Source organism: Homo sapiens, chromosome X (genome assembly GCF_000001405.40).
Source record: "Homo sapiens chromosome X, GRCh38.p14 Primary Assembly".
NCBI lineage: Eukaryota > Metazoa > Chordata > Mammalia > Primates > Hominidae > Homo > Homo sapiens.
In genome coordinates, this window is record NC_000023.11 from 13,055,365 (window position 1) to 13,074,854 (window position 19,490).

Here is a 19,490-nt window from a genome sequence, read left to right on the forward strand (position 1 = left end):
CAAGCCTTTGCCCTATATTATTTTTCTTCAGAACTCAAGCCATTCTACATGTCCATCAGATGATCTTTCTGCAATGACACAGGCTGTCAGAATCATTTATAGAACAGAGTCCAACTCTGGATAACCCAATCAAAAAAAGGAGTTGATTGGAAGGACATAGGCAGTTCATATAATCATTAGAAAAGTGAAAGGTCAGACACAGAAAACAAACAGGAACCAGGGGCAGGCCTGATGACCAAGAACAAAACAATTCACACTGTGCTCTGGTTAAGGCCACACTGCCAGCACCACCACTCCTGGGCCTCCCCACACCTCTGGGCTCCTGACTCCACTACTGCCACCAAGAGTCTCACACCTGTGTCCCTCAACACACAAAGTCCTAGGTGCAACTTTCTCATTGGATGAGCCTAGGTCATGTGCTCAAACCCCAGCCACAGAAAACTCTGGGAGAGGGAATTGTCTGAGGTCCTTTAGCTTCCCCTTTGGAAAATTTATCAACACCTGCACAATGGCGAATTGTCTCCAAATAGAGAGTTCAATGCCTCATACCCAAAACAACTCAAAAACAATAAAGAGGAGAAACAAGAACTGATCACCACCCTGAGGTCTCCACTTCTGTTTCTGGAATGATGTTATAATTTATTTCTGACTTTCTTTATTGGCACCTCCTTAAAAGCAGCAGATCAGCATTTTGTAACCTCATCTAACCTCTCTGCATTGGCTCCCAGCATTATTGTTTTTAAAGATTCTCAGCAATAACAAGAATACCTCATGATCACCTAGTGCGTGCAGGTTCCTAGATGCTTTTCCACATAGGACAGCGTGTGCTCAATAGTCCACTATGTAGTGGGGATAATTCCTCCCTATCTTGTTAACTTTTTGACGTGACTTTTTTTTTTCTAACCCTTCTCTCTCCAGACCCTAACCTGGCCATTCCCACTGCTTTCTCAGCAACATTGGAGAGCACTATATTAATCATCGGAATAAAGACTTAACTTTTATTCTTGGATTTCAGGACCCTCCTTCTCCCATATTGTCCTGTCCATCAAACCACTGCTTACCACCACAAATCATTCATCCAGCCAGCGGGGTCCCTCCTGCTCAATCCTGGGTCTTACCACATGCATTACCCATTGGCCTCAATGGAAATAAGATCCTGTATTTTGAATGAAAAAATGCCTTTACTTGTATTATTTTTATTTTTAAAGCCAGCTGTGTGTTCTTTGGAAAAGTAGGGAAGCCTTCTCGACCTAGATTAGTCATCTGAAAGCTGAATGTGGAGCCGGGTGATTTCTGATTTCTTCCTCCACTGTAACCTTCTATATATTTAAAAAATTCCATGAACAGAAGTGGGGTTGATAGAGGAGGGGACTCAAAGTAACATTAAAGGGGGGAACTCCTTCTTTCACTGGCTTTATCTGAAAATGAGAATCATAATTGATATTCTCAAAGTAGCTTGAGGACTCGAGTTCACTGACACCATGTGAGTTAATTGTTGAATGCTCCTTTGAGGTCTTAATACATATGCCCATGGAGATCCTTTTAGCTTTCAAATAAAAACCATAAGCATGAAATGCCTAATTCCTGTCCTGGGCACTTCATGCTTTATTAAAATATAATAGTATTTGTTATTTTCATGTATGATAATGGCATTGTAGTTGTATTTTTAGAAAGTGTCTATCTTTTAGAGCAGGATTTCTCAATCTCAGCGCTACTGACATTTGGAGACGGTTCTTTGTTGGGGCTGGGGGTGTCTGTGCATTATAGAATATTGAGCAGCATCCCTGGCTTCTACCCACTAGATGCCAATAGCACCCCTTCCACAGTTGTGACAATCAAACATGTCCCCAGACATTGCCAAATGTCCCCAGGGGAGCAACTTCACCACCAGTTAAGAACCACTGTTTTAGAGATACATACTAACATATTTTCCAATGAAATAATAAGATATCTGGTAGGGAGTGGTTGAGGATATGGGTGCAGATAGGGCAGAATTGGCCAAGGACTGATGGCTGTTGGATTGGGTGATAAGTACTGGGGCCTCATATTATCTTGACCACTTTTGTGTGTATTCAAGTATCTAAAATCAAAAGTGCAAAAAACATTGTTTTAACACATCAGTGGTATTGATTTTAAATCTGTTCTCAAGGTTGAGCCTGCAGAGCATCTTACCCTGGAAAGATTAGGAGCTGAGGATAGGGGAAGTAGAATATTATTCATGCTCTTGACTAACTGCTTTTGACTATTCTGGGGACATACTAAGTTTTGAGTGGTTAAACTGAACTCTTAATCAGCCTTACTAGTGTCAAGCCATTCTGCACACACCACCATGATTTTTTTCTTCCTGGTCATCTGGATGAGCATTAGCCAAATTGAAGGTTGAGGCTACATTATCTGGGGAAGCCTTCCATCCTCCCCATGGCCAACAGCTCCTTGTTTAGGCCATCTGCTTGAGTGCAACCGTATCCCAGCCTTGCTGCTTTCTGGGCTGATGCTTAAAGGCAGGTTTCCCTTATTACAGCCTCATGGGCACCAATGTACACAGTGAGAAAGGGCCTAGGGGAAGGCTGAGCCTGGCTGGAACTAGAGGAACACCAGCAGGGATCCAATTAACAATACGTAATTACCAGTGGGTCTGACCTTTCTTTAGCCTAGAAACATAACTGGAACTTAGCTTGAGACTGGGCAGAGTAACCCTCAGAACCTTTATTTTGAGGCTGAGTATTGGGTTGGACCATCCAGAATGGAGCAGGAATATGTAAGGATCACTTTGGAGATGATGTTGGGCTCGTGGTAGCAAAGAGGTTGTGCAAATTGGCAGTAGAACATCAAAGTGATTCTTTTCTACGTTTAAGAGGAGTAATCAAAGCTGTCTAGAAAAATTGGCAAATCGTAATTCTCTTCGGCATAGAAAAAATGTAGATGTAATTGATTTAGAGAAGTCCACAGCTACTTTCAATCTTAAAGATAGTAGATGGTGTGACTAAGAGCTGGAACTCCAGCCACACCACCTGGACTTAGACTCCAACTCCACTCCTTATGAGCATCCCATGCTAACCTTTGTAAGGCAAGTTATGGACACTTGCCTCACCTCAGTTTCCTCCTCTGTAAATCCCGGACAACAATCATATGCCTCTCCTAGGGTTATATGAGGATTAAATAAGTTAGTACACTAATGGGTTTAGAATAGGGCCTAGTGCAGAGTAAACAATTGATGTTGGTGATTGTTAGCTAGAACTAGCCTTCTTTATCTTGCCAGACAGTGTAAACATTATGTAGGCAGGACAATTTGAGGGTCGGGGAGAAGAGGCCGCTTCCATAAAATTTAAAACGATCATCAAAGGCCATTTCTTTGGATTAATAAGTTACTTGTTTTTCACATTTTTGGGAGTTGGCACGTAGCATGGGGACATTTATCAAATGCTGTTTCTCTGATAGAGCAGTTCTTAAAAGACAGGAATTTGAATGGGGTGAAGGTGGGAGGAGCAGGGGACATCTGGATTATGGGGGCTCTGCCTTTGAAATGGCAGCTGTGTGGGTCCTGGAGGGACTTTAAACCCTCAGAAGACAGTGGCCACTGATGCTGGGAGATGGGTGAGGGATCCCCCAAAAAGACATGCCATTTGAGAATTGTTTCTGAGCTAAGAATCTCTTGACCTAAAGTAACCATATTAAACTGAATGTGCCCCATATCAAAGGGATCCCATTCTCCGTTCAAATTTGTCTTTTGTACTATTAATGCGTTAAAGACTCCCAAACCCTCTGCCCTTGTTGGGTACTTTGTTTTCAACTCTGTCTCCCAGATGACACACAGACCCTCTCTGGTGTCATTTCAATTCTGGAAGTGAATCTGATAGCTCTCTTTGTTGCCAGAATTTTCTCGCTAAATGAGGTTACAATACTTCATATTTACAGGCTTCTTAATTTCATCTTTGATGTTTTTCTTTTTAGCAAGCAAATTATTCTGGCTTTCTTACAAATACTCCTCAGAATCAGAGCAAGGGCTTCTTACCCCCTTGCAAGGGTGGCCCAATCACTGTCTGCTTTTGATTTGTGTACTCTGTGCCCTCTGTGAACAGTACTGCCACTTGAAACCCGATTCCCAGAGCAGTCCTTGGACCTCTTGTATTAGCATTCTCCAGACTGTGAATTAAAATGGCAGTTTTCTGTTTCAACCCTAGACCTTCTGAATCTGAATTTCTAAAAGTGGGGCCCAGGAAACTGAATTTTTATTAACTATCCCGAGGGATCTGATGTACACTGAAGTGTGGAACTGTGACCTCATATCCTAAACCCACGTTCTCCATTGCAAATCCTTCAGCATCCTTACCTTCTGTCTTACCCACCCAGAAGACTCCCTTCCCAAATATGCATCCTGCATGGTGTCATTGCATTTGCTTTCCTAGGGAGGGATGAAGATAAAATCTTGACATGTGCTTTGTGGTGAGGGGAGAAAGCAGTTTTTATCTGAGGCTGAAAGGTTATATCTTGAGCCTCAGACAGAAAACTTAGGATGAGTCACCCAAGGAAAGGGTCAAGAGGTCAGCTAGCCTGATCTTATAGAGGGAGACAGTCTTGTGAGTCTGACTAAGTTAAACCATGATCTTGGGTCAATAAATATTTGCAGAATGAAACAGACAATTTACTGATATTGAAATGGCCAGGCCACTTGGATGATCTCCCTGAGTACAGTGTCTAACTTTGAGATTTTATACATTATAGTAAAATAGTGGCCAGGCATAGTGGCTCACACCTGTAATTTCAGCACTTTGGGAGGTTGAAGTGGGAGGATTGCTTGAGCCCAGGAGTTGGAGACCAGCCTGAGCAACAAAGCAAGATCCAGTCTGTAAATTTATATGTGTGTGTGTATGTGTGTGTGTGTATAAAATAGCTTGGGCACTCTCCAAGCTGACTGGGACTCGGCCTTGACTCTGACCTTGATTGCTCTTATTCTATGAATAATTCCAAAAAGATTGATTATCTGATTACTCAGGCCACTGCAAACAGGAAGCGCCTGATTAGAAGCAATTTGCAAGAGCAAGAGGAATATGCAAACACAGGCACAGTGAAAGAGGCAAAAATTGACAGAAATTTCTGGAAAATTTGCTTATGTGGAACTTGTTATTCCTTGATGATGACAAATGGATAGGTGAGAACAAAGATAGCTGTAAAAATCGAGCACTTCCAACTTCAAGACTTGACCTTAAGAATCTTCTAGTACTTAAAAAAAGTAGGCCATTGTTGACAAGTATAACACTGACTACTTTGGGATGGAGAAGTAGAGATGATGAGAAGTGAAAAAGGCTTTACACAAGTCATGGAATTGAGTCAGTAATGATCTAGGGGGCTGGAACTAAATCCCAAATAGGTCTCTCTGAATTTATAGATTTGGTTTCATAAAAGGAAATGACAGCCTAGAAACCTCTGTTGAGCTTCTCTTCCATTTGATTGACCTAAATTTCTTTTGGCTGATTACCAAAGCATTACACTAGCAAAATGTTTGCCACTACTATATGGACATTCAAGCTGGAAATACAATACTCAAGTAATTAGAATCAATGTTCCCTATACAAGTATAAGTGATAGCTCAGATGTTTCTCTGCATATAGGGGAGAAATAAAGTCAAGTTCTGGCAGAGTTCTGTAAACATCAGCTAATTTCAGACAATTCCCACAATACCATTATAAGGTACAGGATGTTGAAGTCCAAACTCTAAAATAAAATTGAATAATGTTATGCCTAATTGTGTGACCCTTAAGGTTATGCTAAGAGAATAAACTTAGTGTTTATTTTTATCTGAGGATATTAACTAAATAATTAAGGCAATAACTTGTGTTTGACAGTACAGTGTGTCTATGTGATTTTGTCTTAAGAGGGAAAATATATGTATTAGTCTGTTTTCATGCTGCTGATAAAGACATACCCGAGACTGGGAAATTTACAAAAGAAAGAGGTTTAATGGACTTACAGTTCCATGTGGCTGGGAGGCCTCACAATCATGGTGGAAGGCAAGGAGGAGCAAGTCACATCTTACATGGATGGCAGCAGGCAAAGAGAAAGAGAACTTGTGCAGGGGAACTCCTCTTTATAAAACCATCAGATCTCATGAGACTTATTCACTATTAAGAGAACAGCATGGGAAAGACCTGATCCCATGATTCAATTACCTCCCGCCAGTTCCCTCCCACAACACATGGGAATTCAAGATGAGATTTGGGTGGGGACACAGCCAAACCATATCATTCCACCCCGGCCCCTCCCAAATCTCATGTCCTCACATTTCAAAACAGTGATATGTGTCCCAACAGTCCCCCAAAGCCTTAACTCATTTCAGCATTAACTCGGAAGTCCACAGTCTAAAGTCTCATCTGAGACAAGGCAAGTCCCTCCTGCCTATTAGCCTGTAAAATCAAAAGTAAGTTAGTTACTTCCTAGAGACAATGGGGACACAGGCATTGAGTAAATACAGCCATTCCAAATGGGAGAAATTGGCCAAAGCAAAGGGGCTACAGGCCTCATCCAAGTCTGAAATCCAGCGGGACAGTCAAACCTTAAAGCTCCAAAATGATCTCCTTTGACTCCATGTCTCACATCCAGGTCATGCTGATGCAAGAGGTAGGTTCCCATGGTCTTGGGCAGCTCCACCCCTGTGGCTTTGCAGGGTACAGCCCCTCCCTCCCAGCTGCTTTCATGGGCTGGCATTGAGTGTCTGTGGCTTTTCCAGGCACACAGTGTAGGCTGTTGGTGGATCTACCATTCTGGGGTCTGGAGGATGGTGGCCCTCTTCTCACAGCTCCACAAGGCAGTGCCCCAGGAGGGACTCTGTGTGGGGGCTCTGACTCCACGTTTCCCTTACAAACTGCCCTAGCCGAGGTTCTCCATGAGGGCCCAGCCCCTGCAGCAAACTTCTGCCTTGCCAGCCAGGCATTTTCATACATGCTCTAAAATTTAGGTGGAGGTTCCCAAACCCCAATTCTTGACTTCTGTGCACTGGCAGGCTCAGTACCACATGGAAGCTGCCAAGGCTTGGAGCTTGCACCCTCTGAAGCCATGGCCCAAGCTCTATGTTGGCCCCTTTCAGCCATGGCTGGAGCAGCTCAGATGCAGGGCACCAAGTCCCTAGGCTGCACACAGCATGGGAACCCTGGGCACAGCCCACAAAACCATTTTTTCCTCCTAGGCCTCTGGGCTTGTGATGGTAGAGGCTGCCATGAAGACCTCTGACATGCTCTGGAGACATTTTCCCCATTTTCTTGGGGATTAACATTTGGCTCCTCATTGCTTATGCAAATTTCTGCAGCCAGCTTAAATTTCTCCTCAGAAAATGGTATTTTCTTTTCTATCCAATTGTCAGGCTGCAAATTTTCTGAATTTTTATGCTCTGCTTCCTTTAAAAAACTGAATGCCTTTTATAGCACCCAAGTCACCTCTTGAATGCTTTACTGCTTAGAAATTTCTTCCACCAGATACCCTAAATCATCTCTCTCTCAAGTTCAAAGTTCCACAAATCTCTAGGGCAGTGGCAAAATGCCACCAGTCTCTTTGCTAAAACATAACAAGAGTCACCTTTTCTCCAGTTCCCAACAAGTTCCTCATCTCCATCTGAGACCACCTCAGCCTGGATTTCATTTTCCGTAATATTATCACCATTTTTGTCAAAGCCATTCAACAAGTCTCTAGGGAGTTCCAAACTTTCCCACATTTTCTTGTATTCTTCTGAGCCCTCCAAACTGTTCCAACCTCTGCCTGTAACCCAGTTCCAAAATCCCTTCCACATTTTCAGGTATCTTTTCAGCAGCACCCCACTCTACTGGTACCAATTTACTGTATCAGTCTGTTTTCACGATGCTGATAAAGACATACCTGAGACTGGGAAATTTGCAAAAGAAAGAGATTTAATGGACTTACAGTTCCACATGGCTGGGGAGGCCTCACAATCATGGTGGAAGGTAAGGAGGAGCAAGTCACGTCTTACATGGATGGCAGCAGGCAAAGAGAGAGATAACTTTTGCAGGGGAATTCCTCTTTATAAAACCATCAGCTCTTGTGAGATTTATTCACTATCATGAGAACAGCTCAGGAAAGACTTGCCCCCATGATTCAATGAGCTCCCACTGGATCTGTCCCACAACATGTAGAAATTCAAGATGAGATTCACCATATCAATATACAAAGGAGAAAATGTGGGAATAAGGGCTAGGGAAATTGTTAGCAACAACCATCTGGGTGACCTTCAATTTTATTTTTATTTGTATTTGTTTTCCGTTTTTTTTTTTTTTTTTTTTTTTTTTTTATTTAATAGATACAGGGTCTCACTGTGTTGCCCAGGCTGGTCTCAAACTTCTAGGCTCAAGCAATCCTCCTGCCTCAGCTTACCAAGTAGCTGGGACTACAGGTGTGTACCACCATACTTAGCTAATTTTTTTTTTTTTAAATTGTAGAGACAGGGTCTTGCTATGTTGCCTGGGATGGTCTTGAATTCCTGGCCTCAAGCAATCCTTCTGCCTTGGCCTCTCAAAGTGCTGAGTTTACAGGTGTGAGACACCACACCTGGCACAAGCTTAAATTTTATTTATTTAAGACAGAGTCTTGCTCTGTTGCCCAGGCTGGAATGTGGTAGCACAATTTTGGCTCACTGCAACATCTGCCTCCTAGGCTCAAGCAATCCTCCTGCCTCAGCCTCCCGAGTAGCTGGGATTACAGGTATGTGCCACCATGCCTGGCTAACTTTCGCATGTTTTGTAGATGCAAGGTTTCACCATGTTGCCCACGCTGGTCTCCAACACCTGGGCTCAAATGATCCACTGGCCTAGGCCTCCCAAAGTTCTGGGATTACAGGTGTGAGCCACTGTGCTTGGCCCCAAGCTTAAATTTTAAATCCCAAATGGGAATTTGCAACATTCATCTCATGTTGAAAAACATCTTTCTTATGAACTCTGAAGAGGCCTGAAGCCCTCTCTGCTCTTGAATTCTTCTATTTCTTGAGCCAGGGGCAAATCACTAACCTTCTTGGGTCTTAGTTTCTCCATTTATGAAGTGGGAACATTATTGCTCACCATGGCACAACTACCCCAAGGTTAATGGTGACCACAATGACACTCAAATTCCAAACAGGATTTCTGAGAGGACCTCTAATATTTGAATGGAGTACTAGGATGTTAGATCTGGGAGAAATTTGTCTAGTTATATGGCATTATACTCATCTGGTAGGGGACAGAATGGAGTCAGAGAGGTTGAGTGGCTTCAGCATCTCTTTTTATGCATTTTTGTGGTACACAACCACAGTGTGTCTCCTCAGCTCTGGGAGCTCCTTCAAGGAGGCATATCTTAATCATCTTGATGTCACTCAATCCTAGCAGAGTGCCAGGAACACAGCAGATGTTTGCTATTTGTTAAATAAGTTGCTAAAGGCAGTCAGAAAAGGAGTCTCTCTGGTAACTGGACTCCTAGCCAGCCCTCTTTTCATTAAGTCTCAGCTCTGTAAACATTCTTGACAAATATGTTAGTTCAGAACATTCTGGACTCACTGAGGGATTTTTCTCAGCAGCATCTCACTGGAGATGTTTCAATTCCTTTGCCAAGGGTCCTGGTTGTGTGGTCCCACAGGTCTTGGCCAAGTCTGCACAGACGTGGTCTATTTATCTGGGTCTCTTTCTCCCTGCTGTGGGTCCCTTGAGGATTGTGAAAGTGAATTAGTCATCTTTACATCACTGGAGACAAGCACAGTGCCTGGTGCACGATCATGGTTCTATGAGTGTTTGTTGAACAAATTAATGTTAATTAACACTTGTTGAATGCTAACCCCTGTGCCAGCCACCTTTTCAGAGCACTGTACCCAAGGAACTCCTTTGATCCTCACGACAGCATTCTCATCATTATTTTTAAAAACATTTATTTATTTATTTATTTATTTGAGACAGAGTCTTACTCTGTCACCCAGGCTGGAGTGCAGTGGCACAATCTTGGCTCACTGCAACCTCTGCCTCCCAGGTTGAAGCAATTCTCATTCCTCACCCTCCTGAGTAGCTGGGACTACAGGCATGAGCCAGCACGTCCGACTGATTTTTTGTATTTTTAGTAGAGACAGAGTTTCACCGTGTTGGGCAGGCTGGTCTTGAACTCCTGACCTCAAGTGATCCGCCCGCCTCGGCCTCCCAAAGTGTTGGGATTACAAGCGTGAGCCACCACGCCGGGCCCCCTTACATTCTTATCATTATTCCAGTTTTATGGAAGAGGAGACAGGCACAGAGAAGCTTGGAACTGAATAGAAAACCACACAGCTAGTAATTAGAGGAGCTGGGATTTGAACCGAGGGAATTTGGCTTCAGAGTCGACCATACCAGTGATTCCCAACACTTTGTTCTTGGCCCCCCTTTGCACTCTTAAAATTAACTGAGTGCCTCAAAGACCCTGTCTTTATTTAGCACCTCAAGGAGCTAAATCTCTCAAAACTTATGATAGTAAAAATTAAACTGAGGAAATTTACAAATGTTTGTTGATGAATTAATTTAAATATAACAATAATAAGTCCAATTGAATGTTAATGTGACATAGTTTTATTTTTAAAAACTATACTTTTCTTTAAAAATGTAGTGAAAAGAGTGGCAATGTTTTTTGTTGTTGTCATTTTGTTTTGTTTTGAGACGGTTTCACCCTGTTGCCCAGGCTGGAGTGCAGTGGCATGATCATGACTCACTGCAGCCTCCACCTCTTGGGCTCAAGTGTTCCTCCTGCCTTAGCCTCTCAAGTAGCTGGGACCACAGGTGTGTATTACCATGCCCTGCTAATTTTAAAATTTTTTGTAGAGACAGGGTCTTGCTATGTTGCCTGGGCCGGTCTCGAACTTCTGGGCTCAAGCAATTCTCCTGCCTCAGCCTCCCAAAGTGCTGGGATTACAAGTGTGAGCCACTGCCTCAGGCCTGAGTGGCAATGTTTTACATTGTTGCATATTTCTTTAATGTCTGACTTAATAGAAGACAACTGGATTTGCTTATCTGCTGTGTATTCAGCCTCTTGACATATGTCCTGTAGCCTCTAGAAACTCCACTGTACACTTGTGTGAGAGAGAGAAAAGGGCAAATAACATCTTGGGTTTTGGCACTCCCCACGGGTGCCCCCAGGGTATAGCTTGGACAATATATAACTCCCTCTCTGCGTGCTCCCCAGAGTGGAATGGGATCACAAAGCAAGAGACTTGGCCTTCCACGAGACATTAATGCTGCAGAGGTGAGTGATGCAGCCTGCTCTAACCTAGGGCGCCCTGTGATGGGGCTGTGGACTTATGAAACCAATGTGTGTCCTATGCCCTCAAATTCCATGTGGTTTCCTGCCTCTGTGCCTCTGCTCTTCCTGAACCCTCTGTCTGGCATGCTGTCCTCCTTCAGGTGGTTTCCTGGAGACCAAGGCTGTACTGAATATCCCCCTCCTCTAGGCTCTCATAGTACCCCAAATAGACCCCCATGGCAGCCATCACCACATTACATGAGTCTCTCTACCCCAGGCTGAGTGCTCCCTGAGGGCAGGGCTTTAGGATTTAGCCCTCTTTGTATTTCCAGTGTTGAAGGCAGAATGACAGAGCAAAGTGCTGGGGAACATGGGGGTGGAGGAGACAAATTTGACCTGTAGATCGAGGGAAACTTCCTGGAGGAAGGGGATTGGGCCTGGTCTGGTGGCAGAGGGAAGGTAAGGGCAATCCTGTCAGTTGGAACTGTTTGACCCTGGGGCAGGGGCATCTCCCGGGGGAAGACAGAGTTGGCAGAAGTGGTTGGAGGGTCCAAGGCAGAGAGGCCAGTGGGAGACAAAGCTGGGAAGATCAGAGAGGACACAAAGTCACTGCATACAGAAGTCACTTGGATGAAAGGAGCTCTTCTGATCTCAATCTGTGTGAGTTTCAGAGCAATTGGACTGTAGGTGAGTTGATGCCTGGCTCAGTGCAGGAAATGAATATTCAGGCCCTTTCAGCTGAGATGGAAGTGCTTTTCCTGAGCAGCAGTCAACAGACCTCACATTTTAGGAGACCCCTGGTCCCAGAATGACTGTTAGCTGGATTGAATTCTGTACGAGCAAGGTCTTTTTTTTTTTTTTTTTTTTTTTGAGACAGATTCTTGCTCTGTCGCCAAGGCTGGAGCGCAGTGGTGCAATCTCAGCTCACTGTAACCTCTGCCTCCCAGGTTCAAGCACTTCTCCTGCCTCAGCCTCCTGAGTAGCTGAGATTACAGGTGCTCACCACCACACCTGGCTAATTTTTGTATTTTTAGTAAAGATGAGGTTTCACCATGTTGGCCAGGCTGGTCACGAACTCCCTGACCTCAAGTGATCCTCCTGCCTCGGCCTCCCAAAGTGCTGAGATTACCGTTGTGAGCCACCACGCCTGGCCAGGAGCAAGGTCTTAAGCAGAAAAATGCTCACAGCCACTGGGCTAGTAAGTCTGTTTATTCTCAAGGATGAAGGCTCTAGCCCTCATACAAATATGACAGAAAGCAATCACACACCAAGCTACATGACTAGGAAGTAGAGTACTTAAGGAGGCAGAGATTTGTTTTTAGTTGACAGCAAGAAATATATGTTTTCCTCTTATTCTTCAGCTACCATTCTGGCTAGTTTTTATTACTCTCAAGAGAGGCAAAGCCAAGAATTTCTTGTAGACATTATTTCCCAGCAAATGTCGCATTTTAGAATGCATACTGACATCTTCCCCTTAATTAATTTATTCCAGACATTCAACTTGGCAGCATTTAATAAATTATGATTACAAACAACACCACTTAAAAAGTATGATTATTAAAATGGTACTCATTGAAGAATCTGAAAGTACAGAAAAACAAACAAAAAGTAGCAGGCCAGGCATGGTGGCTCACACCTGTAATCCCAGCACTTTGAGAGGCGGAGGCAGGCAGATTGCTTGAGCTCAGGAGTTTGAGACCAGCCCGGCCAACATGGTGAAACCTCGTCTCTACAAAAAATACAAAAATTAGCTGGGTGTGGTGGTGCGTGCCTGTGGTCCTAGCTACTTGAGAGCCTGAGGTGGGAGGATTACTTGAGCTTGGGAGGCGGAGGCTGCAGTGAACTGAGATTGCACCACTGCATTCCAGCCTGGGTGACAGAGGAAGACCCTGTCTCAAAAAACAAACAAACAAACAAACAACAACAACAACAAAAACTAGCAGGAAAAATCTCCCCTCTCTTCTAATTCCAAACACTAAGATTCCCATCCCCGTGTGGTAGTCTCCCCAGATGGCTGCCATCAATTTTTTTTCCTTCGTATGCACATGCTGTTCGACCCAGCAAGAAACCATTCTACCTCCCCTGGAATGTGGCCTGACATCTTGAATTGGGTTGGCCACTACTAGAAGTCTGTATAAATGATGCTGTGCCAATTCTAGGCCTGGACTTTAAGACGTCTGGCAACTTTCACATTCCCTCTGAAAACCTACTGCCACATAAGAAGTCTGACTATGCAGAGACACCATGCTGTGAGGAAGCCCAAGCTGTGATGTGGAGAGGCCACCAGAAGAGAACTAAGTGTCTGACATGTGAAGAAAGCCTTCTCAGTCCTTCCAGCCTAGCCCAGCCCCCAGTTCAGTGCAGTAGAATTAGTGACCTCAGCCAATGCCACCTGGAACAGAAAACCACCCAGCTCAGACTAGTCTACCCAAAGAATCATGAGAAATGATAGTTATTGACTGATGACACCAAGTTTTGCCAAGTCTGTTATTCAGCAGCAAGTAATAACTGAGATGCCTTGTTCTATTTTAGAATATTTTCTTAGTATCTTTTTTCACAGCATTTTTAGCAGTCACACTTATACAATAAATATAATTGGTTTTTAGCACTTTTCACAATACATTTCAGGACATGTCTCTTCTCATTTTATCAAAAGTGGAAGGAATATTTTTAGTGACCACACACTGTTCAATTGTAGGGATGTATTATCATCTGGGCCAATCAAATTCTGTCTGCTGGGAAGGTAGAAATGGGACAAAGTGATTCTGATCAACCTTTGTGGTTGAGGTGGCCACATTTGGATATTGTGCAAGCAGAACTAGAAAATCAGTCACAGACAGAAAGAAGAAAGAAGTGGGCATAGAGGTTGGGCGTGGTGGCTCACGCCTGTAATCCTACCACTTTGGAAGGCCAAGGTGGGCGGATCACTTGAGCTCAGGAGTTCAAGACCAGCCTGGGCAACATGGCAAAACCCCATCTCTACAAAAAATAAAAAAAAATAGCCTGGCATGGTGGTGTGCACCTGTAATCCCAGCTACTGAGGAGGCTGAGGTGGGAGGATTGCTGGAACCCAAGAGGCGGAGGTTGCAGTCAGCCAAGATTGTGCCACTGTAGTCCAGCCTGGGTGACTGAGTAGGACCCTGTCTCAAAAAATATAAAATAAAAAAAGAAAAGAAAAAGAACTAGGCTTAGAAAGAAGAGAGAAAATGAAAAATAGAGATAATACGGCCCATAGTGTGTCCTTGAGGTCTACTGATTTTCTAGTTCTAGCCCTTGTGTTGTATGAAATACTTGAATAGCCTTTTTCCCAGCTGCCATGTAAGAAGTGATAACTGAGATGTAAGAAGTCTGACTATGCAGAGACACCATGCTGTGAGGAAGCCCAAGCTGTGATGTGGTGAGGCCACTAGATAAGGCCTCCTGTATTCCATGAAATACTTGAATATTTTTTTCCAATAAATTCTTCATTTGCTTTCAAACCACTTTGAGAGACTTTTGTTCCCTGCAACCACTTGAATAAGGCCAATGGTTTCAAAAGAAGAGCAGGAAGGAACGTCATGTTGGAGAGGCAGGAAAACCTTCTTTTTTGCAGCATGAAGTTGCCTCTGTGGACTTCAGTTTCCTGATGGTGACTCAGCTCTACAACTTGAAAATGAGCAGTTAACAGGCTGTTTGTGCCAAGTAATTCTAGTGATAGATGTGCATTTTTTCTATAGCTTCCCACCATTATAGTCCACTTTGGAAGCTGAATTCTGATTCAAAAAGGAATGGAGGGCAAAAACCGTGTGTGCTCCTGAGAGAACAGTGCCAAATTCTCCACTTGCAAAATGGGACATTAATAATTGCCGCCTCATTCCACTGAGTCTATGATGAAAATTATTTCTTCAGTTTTTCAAATTTAATCACAGCTTTTGAAATTAAGGACATCTGAATATTGTGTGTGTATATACAGTATAATTAATGCTGTATTTCTGGGCTAAGAGCCCAGAAACTATTGTATATAAGTATACACAAATGTACCTTTACAGTTTGATAATATTTCATTTCCATGTAGGCAATTTTCTTCTTGAATAAATTACTTGATGGTTGTATTTTTTCATGAACCATCATGAGGAAAATTCCAGATTTCCAGATTTGCTCTCCAGTGTTTTGAATGTACAGCAACCTTGCCAATATGTGGCCTTGAACGTTCTGCACATGGCTAAGGATCTGTTGGATTACCATTCTCTATAGCTGCCCTTTTCCATACAGGAGCCACTAGCCACATGTGGCTACTGAGCAACCGTTAGTGGATTAAATCCAAATTCAAGTGTTCTGTAAGTGTAAAATACACACTTAATTTTGATGACTTAGTACCAAAAAAAAAAAAGAAAAGAAAATATCTAATAATTTCTACATTGACTACATGTTGAAATAATAGTATTTTGGATGTACTGGGTTAAATTAAAGATATTAATTTCACCCATTTCTTTATACTTTAAAAAATGTGGTTACTGAAATTTTTAAAATTACATATATGGCTCACTCTTGTGGCTTGCATTATGTTTCCAATTGACAGTGCTACTCTACGGAGCTGAATTCAACCTTTTGTGAGTCTCTCTGGGCCCCCAACCAATAGGGACGAGTAGCCTTAAAGTGCTAGCTTATTTCTTCTCAGGATTCCCAAAAACCAGGGAAAGCAGATAGAAGAATCAGGATGTGTCTGCCCTGGATGCTTCCATTTTTTTTTTTTTTTGGTCTCCTTCTTGACTCTTTGTGTCCTCTCTACCACCTAGTGCTACCTAAGTGGCCCGCCAAGAAAACCTACCCAACATGCACTTCCTGAAACATCTCCCTGAGCTCCAGAGTATTGTATTCTTTTTCTTTTTCACCTCCCCCAAAACTAACAACCCCTCAGTGTAGGAATCTCACATAGCTGTTATATGAAATATGGGCTTTAAAAAATTTCTCACAAGAGTATGTAAGATAAGCCTTTGTATTAGCCTGTTAAAGGTAAGGTTGAAAGGCTCTCCAATGGGACAACTTCTGGCCAAGTGTTCCAGTAGAAAGATGCATTTCCAGCAGTTGAGAGGGCAGTATTTTGGGGTAATGTGTTTAAACCAAACATTGTTAGCACATACCTATTCTGTAAATATACTAACCTTTTCCCTGCTAAAGGCATAGTTATGGGTCATACAATCAAAACGATGTGATCTCACGTTAATTTTCCCTAAAATAATCTCTACCAGCTTCCATAGAAGCCCCTTCTGCCCCTGTCCTCATATCCTTTTCCCTAATTAAAAGTCTATAATTTAGAAGGTGCCATTATCGACCAAATCGCTTCTGTTGTAAAACTATCGGCTGAGATGTTTCTAGCTGTCTTCCATTATTCATGACTCTCTCTCCTTTGAAGTAACTAACTTTTTTTTTTTTTTTTTGAGACGGAGTCTCACTCTGTTGCCCAGGCTGGAGTGCAGTGTCGCGATCTCTGCTCACTGCAAGCTCCGCCTCCCGGGTTCATGCCATTCTCCTGCCTCCGCCTCCCGAATAGCTGGGACTACAGGCGCCCGCCACCACGCCTGGCTAATTTTTTGTATTTTTAGTAGAGATGGGATTTCACCATGTTAGTCAGGATGGTCTCGATCTCCTGACCTCGTGATCCACCCGCCTCGGCCTCCCATTCACTCAGTCACTCACTTGTTCATTCATTCATTCATTTATTATTTATATACCATGCACTTTCTAAAAGTTCTTGAAGCTGTTTGGTACCCTTCATACACATGCAAACCTGTGCTTCCACTGTTGTGCTGTCAAACTGGGGGCCTCTAGTGAAGAAGGAAAATAATTCCACATGCACGCCAATCCTGTTCAAACGGACACCAGGCTAAGCCCTTTGGGAATTTTACACTCAGACCCAAGTGGAGAACTGGGCTTCTTAAAAAAGTCCCGTAAATCAATCCATAGTATATAAAAATTAGCCATGTCTAAAAGAGGTTTATTAAGCGATTTCCACAGCCACTGCATTAGATTTCAAGGAGTTTATGAGGATAAACAGATCTTTATTGAGAATCACCATTAACATGGTCATTAGCTTTCACATCATTAAATATCTCATTTCAAGGGCAATTATGTTGGATTTCACATTTATCAGAAAATAATTGCAGAAAAATGTGCCATACACACCATTTTTTCAGAGGCATCAGCAACACAAAAGGTGGAACTCAAAAGCAACATTTCCTTTTTGTGTATTATTTGAAACTTATGCCATGGCAATTTTGCAGGACTAATTCACAGATTGGCTTATTTAAGTCAGACGTTATATGAGCATCAAATTATCCAACTTCTCTATGATTCTTTTAACCTGTGCCAAGTTTGTTTTATATGGTGATTGATGGCTTACTATTGGGAGAGTCACTCCATTACAATAAGATTATTTGTAGATGAGTGGTGGACACACCCTCAGGTGACCCCCAATGAGTCCCATCCTTGTATAAGCCTCTCCCCTTGAGTGTCAGAGGAAACTGTCTTGCATCCAGCCAATAGAATATGGCAAAGGTGATGGGATGTCACTCCCTTGATTACACCATGTAAGACTCTGTCTTAGTGGACTGGCGTGAGAGACCCTGCCTTGCTGGTCTTGAAGAAGCTTCCAAGCTGTGGGACAGCCCCTGGCAAGGAACTGTGGGCAGTCTCAAGGACTGAGTGACCTCCGGATGACAGCTAGTAGGAAAACAAGGACCCTAGTCTTGCAGCTTCAAGGAACTGAATTCTACCAACAACCATGTGAGATTGGAAAAGGTCCTCGATCTCCATATGAGACTGCAGCCCAGCTGACAACTTGATTTCAGCCTCTTGAGGCCAGAGCTGAGAATCCAGCCATGCCATACCTAGATTCCTGGCCCATAGAAACTGTGAGATAATAAATGGCTGTGGCCAGGCATAGCTGACACCTGTAATCCCAGCAATTTGGGAGGCCGAGGCAGGAGTATCACTTGAGCTCAGGAGTTTGAGACCAGCCTGGCTAACATGGCAAAACCCTGTCTCTACAAAAAAATACAAAAATTAGCTGGGTACAGTGGTGTGTGTCTGTAGTTCTAGCTACTTGGGAAGCGGAGGCACGAGAATCTCTTGAACCCGGGAGGCGGTTGTTGCAGTAAGCCAAGATCGCGCCATTGCACTCCAGCCTGGGCAATGGCAATGAAACTTTGTTTAAAAAAAAAATAATAATAACAATAAAAAAAAATGGGTGTTATTTTGAGCCACTAAACTTGTGGTAGTTTGCTATATAGCACAGAAAACAGATACAATGGGTTTTTCATTCATGTCTGTGACACAATATTCATAAATTTATCTTTAAACTAGTTATTCTCAAACTCTATGAAAAATCAATTTTTTAATCTCCAATCTATCATGGAAAAATACTTCCATAAAATGAATTATTAGAAAAAACTAAATTTAAAAGGTGTACAAAATACAGGTCCATGGACCAATAGTCATAACATTTTTAAAAATGAGTTCTTGCAAAAATTTAGTAAAGACATACAAAACGCAAGCCTAAGAGTTTTATTAGATTTGATAGACAGTTACTCTGTTAAATTAGTGTAAAAGTCTTTAAACATTTATGCTCAATTTACATGTCTCCCTGAGGCTGGATAATAAACAGCTCACTGAAGAGTGGCCATCTACAGATCATCTATTTAAATGATACCAAATCAACTTATAAAAATAGCTGGTATTTATGGAGGTTTTATTATGCCCGGGACAGTGTCCAGTCATTCACATGAATTACCTTCTAGTAATGATCATCCCAACTCTGAACTTTATGAATTCTCCTATTTTATGTGTGAACAGACTAGGATTAATGGGATGAAGTAACTTACCCAACTTGGTCACACAGCTAGTAAGTACGGGAAGTTGTGACCCAAACCCAGAAATCTTAACTGCATAGCATGACACTGCAGAATCCCTTTATCCATGGTAATATTTGAGATAATACAATGCTCAAATTATGGTAAATATGGGATGAAATTAATTTCACCCTGGTCAAAATTTCCACAAAGTCCTACATAGGGAGATTTCTGTGCTTTTGTTCCCTAAAAATGAGACCCATCGCTTATACCAAACATGAACTAGAGAGAGATGAGGCATGTGGTGAGGTCTAGAAGGAAATGAACCGTGCTGTTGTTGATGTCTCTTCTCAGAGCGTGGTGGTTCTTAGTATAGTAGCAGAATCAGAGATGCGGAAGAGAGGAAAGCAGGTGTACCTTGGTGATATATGCTCCATTTAC

At 42.7% G+C, this 19,490-nt stretch overlaps 1 long non-coding RNA gene across 1 annotated transcript in view, besides 1 other annotated feature; it reads left to right on the forward strand.

Moving 5' to 3' along the window:
* Positions 1 to 19,490, forward strand: part of LOC105373133 (uncharacterized) — a 51,063-nt gene that overhangs the window by 10,632 nt on the left and 20,941 nt on the right. The window lies entirely within an intron of this gene.
* Positions 19,285 to 19,344: a silencer, noted in NCBI's record as "silent region_20665". NCBI's record gives its function as "represses an Ori minimal core promoter by ATAC-STARR-seq in GM12878 lymphoblastoid cells {active_cell/tissue: GM12878}" and the evidence as "EXISTENCE:reporter gene assay evidence [ECO:0000049][PMID:35858748]".